The sequence below is a fragment of the Homo sapiens genome, chromosome 19, assembly GCF_000001405.40.
Source record: "Homo sapiens chromosome 19, GRCh38.p14 Primary Assembly".
Lineage (NCBI taxonomy): Eukaryota > Metazoa > Chordata > Mammalia > Primates > Hominidae > Homo > Homo sapiens.
The window spans coordinates 22849386-22858667 of record NC_000019.10 but is presented as its reverse complement, the minus strand read 5'-3'; the positions used below and the strand labels follow the sequence as shown (position 1 = coordinate 22858667).

General features: G+C 35.8%; 1 protein-coding gene across 5 annotated transcripts in view; it reads right to left on the bottom strand.

Moving 5' to 3' along the window:
- Positions 1–9282, bottom strand: part of ZNF723 (zinc finger protein 723) — a 46450-nt gene continuing 37168 nt past the window's right edge. For all 5 annotated transcript variants that reach the window (XM_047439223.1, XM_024451652.2, XM_047439225.1 and 2 more), the window contains one exon: positions 1–1550. In XM_047439223.1, the coding sequence (XP_047295179.1) occupies positions 235–1550 (1316 nt within the window). In that variant the 3' untranslated portion in view covers positions 1–234. The remainder of the gene's footprint in view (positions 1551–9282) is intronic.

The window sequence follows — 9282 nt, the reverse complement described above, 5'->3', positions numbered from 1 at the left end:
CAGCCTCCCAACTAGCTGGGATTACAGGCGCCCACCACTACACCCGGCTAATTTTTTTTGTATTTTAGTAGAGACGTTGTTTCACCATGTTAGGTTGGTCTCGAACTCCTGACCTCAGGTGATCTGCCCGCCTCGGCCTCCCAAAGTGCTGGGATTACAGGCGTAAGCTACTGTGCCTGGCCACCAGCATTTCTTTTATGTTTAAAAAAGTTTGGGATTTCATAAAAAGCATTGTCACATCTTTAAGGTTTGTGATTTCTCTTTAGTATGAATTATCTTATGTCTGTTAAGAATTGAGGACTTGTTAAAGGCTTTGCCACATTCTTCACATTTGTAAGGCTTCTCTCTAGCATGAATTATCTTATGTTTATTAAGGGTTGAATATTGGTTAAAAGCTTTGCCACATTCTTCACATTTGTAGGGTTTCTCTTTAGTATGAATTATCTTATGTTTAGTAAGGGTTGAGGATTGGCTAAAACCTTTACCACATTGTTTACATTTGTAAGGTCTTTCTCCAGTATGAATTATCTTATGTGTAGTAAGGGCTGAGGATTGGTTAAAGGCTTTGCCACATTCTTCACATTTGTAGGGTTTCTCTCCAGTATGAATTCTCTTATGTGTAGTAAGGTGTACAGATACTTTAAAAGCTTTGCCACATTCTTCACATTTGTAGGGTTTCTCTCCAGTGTGAATTCTCTTATGTGTAGTAATGTGTGAGGACTGGCTGAATGCTTTGCCACATTCTTCACATTTGTAGAGTTTCTCTCCAGTATGAATTCTCTTATGTGTAGCAAGGTGTGAGGGCTGGTTAAAGGCTTTGCCACATTCTTCACATTTGTAGGGTTTCTCTCCAGTATGAATTCTCTTATGATTATTAAGGCTTGAGAACACATTAAAGGCTTTGCCACATTCTTTACATTTGTAGGGTTTCTCTCCAGTGTGAATTCTCTTATGATTATTAAGGCTTGAGAACATATTAAAGGTTTTGCCACATTCTTCACATTTGTAGGGTTTCTCTCCAGTATGAATTCTCTTATGATTATTAAGGCTTGAGGACACATTAAAGGCTTTGCCACATTCTTCACATTTGTAGGGTTTCTCTCCAGTATGAATTCTCTTATGATTATTAAGCTTTGAGGGCACACTAAAGGCTTTGCCACATTCTTCACATTTGTAACAATTCACTCTAGTATGATTTCTTTCATGTTTAGTTAGGTGTGAAAGCATGCAAAATGATTTGCCACATTCTTTACATTTGAAAGAATTATTTCCAGTATGTCTTATCTTCTGGCTATTTGAACTTGAAAATTTATGAAAGACTTTTACATATTTATCACATTGAAATATTTTGCTCGGGGTAGTTGTCAAACATTGCTTAAGTTCATCATAACCTCCTTTGTGCATCTTACACTCATCCACACTTTCACAGCCTTTTCTTAATTGTAAATTGTCATGTCCATATTTTCCATAGCTTCTCAGTATTACTTTTTGGAAAGAATCTTTTATGCCCTGCTCTGGCCAAAGGTCTTGGGCAAAATGAGAACACACAACTGAAAAAAATAGAAATAACAAATTACTTCATCTTACTAGACTCAGATGGATATACTTTACAAATCTAAGCTATAAAATTATACAAACTACATAAGATGGCATAGCAAAATACCATAGGCCATAATTACTTCATAGACATAAATGTAACAAAAACATACAGACCAAAATACATTTGTGGAAAATGTATAAATGAGTTAAGTATGTGCAGTGCCACAAAGAGCCTCATAGAATGAAGAGAAAAGTTTATTGCATCTACCCAAAACAGCTCTTTCTGCTCCCCAATATAGCAAAGAGCCTTTACAAGTAAATTGTAAGCTCCTGAATTCTTTTTTAAAAGACAAGTAAAATACTGGCACATACATCTTTATTTCTGTCTTTGAGGGGCTTTTCCAGACACTTGGTTTCTGTTTCCAATGACATAAAGTGCTAAAATAACTGGTCATATACTTTGAAGTGACCCTTTGAGTTTGCTGAGACTAAATGTAAATGTTACAGCAGCAGAGAAACTGCAGTACCACAGGCAGGGAACAGGTGTAGCAAGCGATGAATATAAAGAAACATGAATAAACTCCTTTAACTAGAAAGTAAAAACTAAATTCAGACAAGACACATCATAAGAACCTGTTTGATAGACTCCCAAAATCTCTAACCAAGACAATTGTTTTCAGACTATGCCATAAATTATGTAACAGGTAGATTTTAATAATGTCCTAAATTGAATAATACTCAACGAGTGAAATGGAAACACAGACAACTACAGAAAAACAGAAAAATGAGGGTAACAAAAGTATGAAATATCAAAAAAACAGAAATTGTGGAGGTAAAAAATACAAAAAGAAATTATAACTAAAAAATTCTGGCCAGGCACAGTGGCTCATGTCTATAATCCCAGCACTTCGGGAGGCCGAGGTGGGCAGATCATGAGGTCAGGAGATAAAGACCATACTGGCTAACATGGTGAAACCTCATCTCTACTAAAAATACAAAAAATTAGCTGGGTGTGGTGGCAAGCACCTGTAGTCCCAGCTACTCAGGAGGCTGAGGCAGGAGAATTGCTTGAACCTGGGAGGTGGAAGTTGCAGTGAGCCAAGACCACGCCATTGCACTCCAGCCTGGGAGACAAGAGCAAGACTCTGTCTCAAAAAACAAAAACAAACAAACAAAAAAATTCTAAAAGAAAGATAAAATAAAAACGAAGAAGCTCAACAAACAAACTAGGAAACACACAAAGATACTTATAACAAACACATATATAAGCACACTTTTAAAAGTCACAGACAAAAAGAGAATCTTGGAAACTGCAAGAAAAAAGTGATGTATCACTTACAAGCAGGCTTTCAGATAACCACTGAACTGTCAACAAAAATTTTGGAGGCCAGAAGGGAACTGTGTGATATAGTCAAAGTCCTGGAAAAATACCTATCAAGTGAGAATAATACCATCAGCAAATCTGTCCTGCCAAAAATAAAAAAACCTTCCAAAGTAATCAAATTCTGAAAAAGTATATTGGCACTGCATGTGCCCTATACATAAAAGATACTGAAAGCAGTTTCTTCCATTGAAAATAATATGATTCAAGAAAATGACAGGCCAGGTGTGGTGACTCACACCTGTAGTACCAGCATTTTGGGAGGCCACGGCAGATGGATCACCTTAGGTCAGGAGTTCAAGATCAGCCTGGCCAACATGGCAAAACCCCATCTCCACTAAAAATACAAAAATTAGACATGTGTGGTGGTGTGTGTCTATAATCCCAGCTATTCAGGAGTCTGAGGAAGGAGAATCACTTGAACCCGGGAGGTGGAGGTTGCAGTGAGCCAGGACTGCACCACTGTACTCCAGCCTGGGTGACAGAGAGAGACTCCATCTCAAAAAAAAAAAAAAAAGAAAACACATAATCATATAAAAATACATTATTTTCTAGGAAAGATATGTACATACTTACATAAAAATGAAATTTCCTACCATTGTTATAACGGTGCAGAAAACATTTGTAATTATTCTATAAAATTTAAAGAATTCTAGAGAATATAAAAATAAAAAATTTGAGGAAGAATATTTTTTTTTTTGAGATGGAGTTTCAATCTTGTTGCCCAGGCTGGAGTGCAATGGCACAATCTCAGCTCACTGTGACCTCCACCTTCTGGGTTCAAGCGATTCTCTTGCCTCAGCTGACAGAGTAGCTGGGATTACAGGCATGTGCCACCACGCCTGGAAACTTTCATATTTTTAGTAGAGACAGGGTTTCTCCATGTTGGTCAGGCTGGACTCGAACTCCCGACCTCAAGTGATCTGTCCACCTCAGCCTCCCAAAGTGATGGGATTACAGGTGTAAACCACCAAGCACAGCCAAAGAAACATTTTCGTATTCAGCTGAAGTTCACTTTTTACTAGATTAAAATATATTCTCATATCTTTTAGAGGTTTTGTGTAATCCCCAAGGTACCACAAAGAATATATGTTTAGATGAAAAAAACAAGAAGTAAAAGCATATTAATACAAAAGTGAAACAGACACAAAAGAGGGCAGAAAGAGAGAAAATGAGGGACAAAGATACAAGAATCAAATAAAACAATAAAACATTATTAAGTTTTTGTTTCAGAAAATTATTTAAATATATATACAATTAATTTTCCAATCAAGAGACATATTTTCAATAAAAGGATTTATTTAAAAAATCTTAAAACCCAAAATCCAACTTACTTTCCTGCAAGAGTCAGCTGAGATTTAATGATAAAAAAAGACAGAAAGTGGCAAGACGGACATACACATTCTATGCAGATACTAACCAAATGAGAGAAGAAGAGATCAAAATAATATTACATAAGCTATATCTGAAGTCAAAGTGTCATATTTTATAAAATGTATTCTAAGTCAAAACTATATGGAGACAAAGAAGGAAATTAACAATAATAGAGTCATTTAGTGTAAACATAACAAATGTGTGTGTGTGTGTGTGTGTATCTCACATTTGGCTTTCAAATATATAAAGCAAATATTGACAGAATTAAAGAAACACATAGAGAGCAATATAATTATAGTAGGATATTTTAATACGCCACTTTCTGTAATAAAAATAAAACAAGATAGAATATTAATAAGGAAAGAGAAAATTTGAAGAGAGTATAAAACATTTATTTCTAAAAGAAGTATAGAGAACACTCCTCAACATCAGGATACACACCCTTCTCAATAACTCATATGGCCGGTTGTGATGACTCAAGCCTATAATCCCAGCAGTTTGGGAGGCCAAGGCAGGCAGATCACCTGAGGTTAGGAGCTCGAGACCAGCCTGGCCAACATGGTGAAACCCTGTCTCTACTAAAAATACAAAAATTAGCTGGGCATGGTTCAGGTGCCTGCAATTCCAGCTACTTGGAAGGCTGAGGCAGGTTCACCTGGGAGGAGGAGGTTGCACTGAGCCAAGATCAGGCCATTGCACTCCAGCCTGGGTGACAGAGCAAGGCTCTGTCTCAGATAAATAAATAAATACTCACACGATCTTACAAGATTCTCCTTGAAAAAAGTCTTAACAAATTTCATAAAACAAAATTTTTATGCATTACTTTGTATGACCAAAATGGAATGAGGGTATAAAACAATAATAGAAAAAAACCTGAAAAATTTATAAATATATAAAAATTAAACAGCACACTCTGGAGAATGCATCTATTCAAAAACTGAAATAATTAATATTTTGAAGATGTCCATGCTGCTCAATGTAATCTACAGATTTAATGATATTTAACTAAATTTCTAACTGCATTTTTGAAAAAATGTAAACAGCAATAGCAAAAGTATATGGAATCTCAAGAGAAAATAAAATACTCAACAATCTTCAAAAAAAGAAACAATGTTGAAGGCATTACAGTTCCTGATTTCAAAACACATTACGAGCTACAGAATTAAAACAATTTACTATGAATATAAAAGTTAAAAAGCAGAATAATAAAAGAGAATGCAGCACATATATAAACTGTCATATATATAGTTATATAAAGAGCTATTTGCATATCTATAATTATTACAGTTTTTACTGAAAGCCAATAACTAAAAGCAATGCAAATTTCTGTCACCAAATCATTCAGTAGAAATAATTTGAAATATAAAAATACTGGAATATCACTCAGGATTTATAAGCAGAAAATATTCTTAACAACTATAAAGATAAAGCTTGATGATATTATGCAAAATGAAACGAGCCAGTCATAAAAAGTCAGAGATAGAATGAGATATATGTAGCAGTTACACTGTTAAAAACAGAAAACATAGTGGCATTTGAAAAGCACCAAGAAATGAAAAAAACTGGTAGCTGTTCAATGTGTCAAGATTTAGCTTTGTGAGATAAAAACATTCTAGGGATATGTTGCATAGCATTGTCAATACCATTAATATGACTAAACCGAATATTTAAAAACATTTGACTGTAAAGATTATGTGTTTTTGACAAGTAAAAATGAACAATAATACCTAATAAAGTTCTGATAAGTTTTTAAATTATTGTCAAGTCCAAAATTTTTCCCCACACAAAAATAATATATTCACAAATAGATGCTAAAACTAGTAAAATGTTTATGACAGCTTACCTAGAAAAGATTAAACAACCATTCACAACAAACCTACACAAAAAATATACAGTCATAAAAGATAGAGATAATATTTATACAGGGAAACAAACATAACTATATTGGAAACAGATATATGAATGAAAGACTAATATTTGATTTTGCTCTATCCATTCTTAAATTGTACAGACTTTAATATTGTCATATAAAATGATAATATAAACTAAAACATCAAAACACAATTAACTGCTATGAGGTGGCATATTCTAAAATATATAACACAGAAACAAAATTGTAAAACACTAAACATGCAATGTAAAGCTTATTGGACACTATAAAGTAGATCAATATATTTATGAAAGAAATCTTAAAAGAAGACTATAAAAGAAAAAGTAATACAGAGATTACTTGAAGAAACAAAAACTGAGAACTTTACCAATTTTGATTTTATAAAAAAAATTCTAGCTGGGCGCAGTGGCTCACACCTGTAATCCCAGCACTTTGGGAGGCCGAAGGGGGCAGATCACCTGAGGTTGGGAGTTTGAGACCAGTCTGACCAACATGCAGAAACCCCGTCTCTACTAAAAATACAAAAAAATTAGCCAGGCGTGGTGGCACATGCCTGCAATCCCAGCTATTCCGGAGGCTGAGGCAGGAGAATCGCTTGAACCCAGGAGGCGGAAGTAGCGGTGAGCCCAGATCGCGCCATTGCCCTCCAGCCTGGGCAACAAGAGCAAAACTCCGTCTCAAAAAAAAAGTTCTAACAAGTAATACTTTATTCAAAATTATTTTACTTCAAAAACAAGACAAAAATAAAGACTTTCCCAAATGAAAAGTGAGGGAGTTCATCACCACTAACACAGTCCTATAACAAATGCTACATGGTGGCCAGGCACAGTGGCTCATGCCTGTAATCCGATAGCATTAGGAGGCAAAGACAGTCAGATCACTTGAGACCAGGAGTTCAAGATTAGTCTGAGCAATACAGTGAGACTGCACATAAATAAAAAGAAATCCTAAAATGAGTCCATTATGTTGAAAAATAAAATCATGCTGGACAGCATCATGAAAATGTATATAGGCTGGGCGCGGTGCCTCACGCCTGTAATCCCAGCACTTTAGGAGGTCAAGGCAGGCAGATCACCTGACATCAGGAATTCAAGACCAGCCTCACCAACATGCTGAAACCCCGTCTCTACTAAAAATAGAAAAATTAGTTGGGTGTGGTTGCTCGTGCCTGTAATCTCAGCTACTCAAGAGGCTGAGGCAGGAGAATTGCTTGAACCCATGAGGCAGTGGTTGCAGTGAGCCAAGATCGTGCCACCGCGCTCCAGCCTAGGCAACAGAGCAAGACTCCATCTCAAAAAAAATAGTAATAAATAAATAAATAAATAAATAGCTCTCTGTTAAATGTAAATATAGAGACACATATAGAATTCTATTATAATGATGGTGCATAAAACCCTTAAACTTCTTCTGTAAATAGAAAAAACAACACTTAAATCTGCCTACATTTATTAATAGATACACAAGATAATATTTATAATATCAATAACAAACTGGAAAATATAAAGATATAGGTTTTGTATTCAATTGAAGTTATGATATTAAAATGTATTGTTTTAACTTTAAGATGTTTTATGTAATCTCCATTTTTCAACATGATCACATTATATTTCAGGATGACTGCGTTGCATTTGTAGAAAGCATGTGAAACAGAATAAAAAATAAGCAAGGCATGTCACAACAAAATTAAACAAAAATTAAGGCAGTAAAACAGGAAATGAGAAAAAACGTATCTAAAAAAATAATAAACTCTTAATAGTAACTTCATATCTTTAAGCAATTATTTTAAATATAAATTAAACAATTTAATAAAAAGAAATGTAGCTGGGCATGGTGGCTCATGCCTATAATCCCAGCTACTGGGGAAGCTGAGACAGGAGAATCACTTGAACCCAGGAGGCGGAGGTTGCAGTGAGCCAAGATCGTGCCATTGCACTCCAGCCTGGGCAGCAAGTGCAAAACTCCATCTCAGTAAAAAGAAAAAAAAAAAAGACCCAGCGCCTGTGATCCCAGCACTTTGGGAGGCCGACGTGGGCCGATCACCTGATGTCAGGAGTTTGAGACTAGCCTGGCCTACATGGTGAAACCCCGGCTCTACTAAAAATACAAAAATTAGCTGGGCATGGTGGCACGTGCCTGTAATCCCAGCTACTCGGGAGGCTGAGGCAGCAGAATCACTTGAATCCGGGAGGCGGAGGTTACAGTGAGCCAAGAGGGTGCCATTACACTCCAGCCTGGGCAACAAGAGCAAAACTCCATCTCAAAAAAAGCCTCCAGTGCTATCTTTTATATAGTAATGTAAAACACAATCCTAAAATTTACATAAAACTTCAATAAACTTTGAATAGCCAAAGCAATCTTGACAAAAAAAAAACAAACCAGGAGGATGTCATACTTAATATAATAATTCCAAACTGTATTTCAAGACTATACTAATAAAAACAGGATGAATTATGCAGAAAAATGAAAAAACAAATGGAACAGAAACCACTACTCTCACATATTTTAAACACGATAAAACAAGAAAACATGAAAAACAGTTTAACATAGGTTTTTGTTTCTTTTTTTTTACTTTTGAGATGGACTTTCACTCTTCTCACACAAGCTGGAGTGCAATGGCACGACATCAGAATTAAGGAACCTCTGCTTCCTTAATTCAAGCGATTCTCCTGACTCAGCCTACCAAATAGCTGGGATTACAGAAGTGCGCCACCACGAGCAACAAATTTTTGTATTTTTGGTAGAGAAGGGGTTTCACCATGTTGGCCAGGCTGGTCTCGAACTCCTGACCTCAGGTGATCCACCCGCCTCGGCCTCCCAAAGTGCTGGGTTTACTGGTGTGAGACATTTGCCCAGCCTAACAGAGTTTTATAAAATTATGCAGATATTTATGGTTCCCTTGAAAATATGAAAAAGTAGATTGTGCAGTCTCTTATATGCCATGAAGAAGACTTTGGCTGTCACTGTAAACTTCAAGGAAGATCACAAAAGGGAAAGTAGAATCCTTAGAAAATTTAATAGCACAATGCAGAAGATGCCCCTATGTGAGAGTAAAATTTTTTAAACTCTCAGGCTTTCCTGAAACTATTTTCTTTGGAAC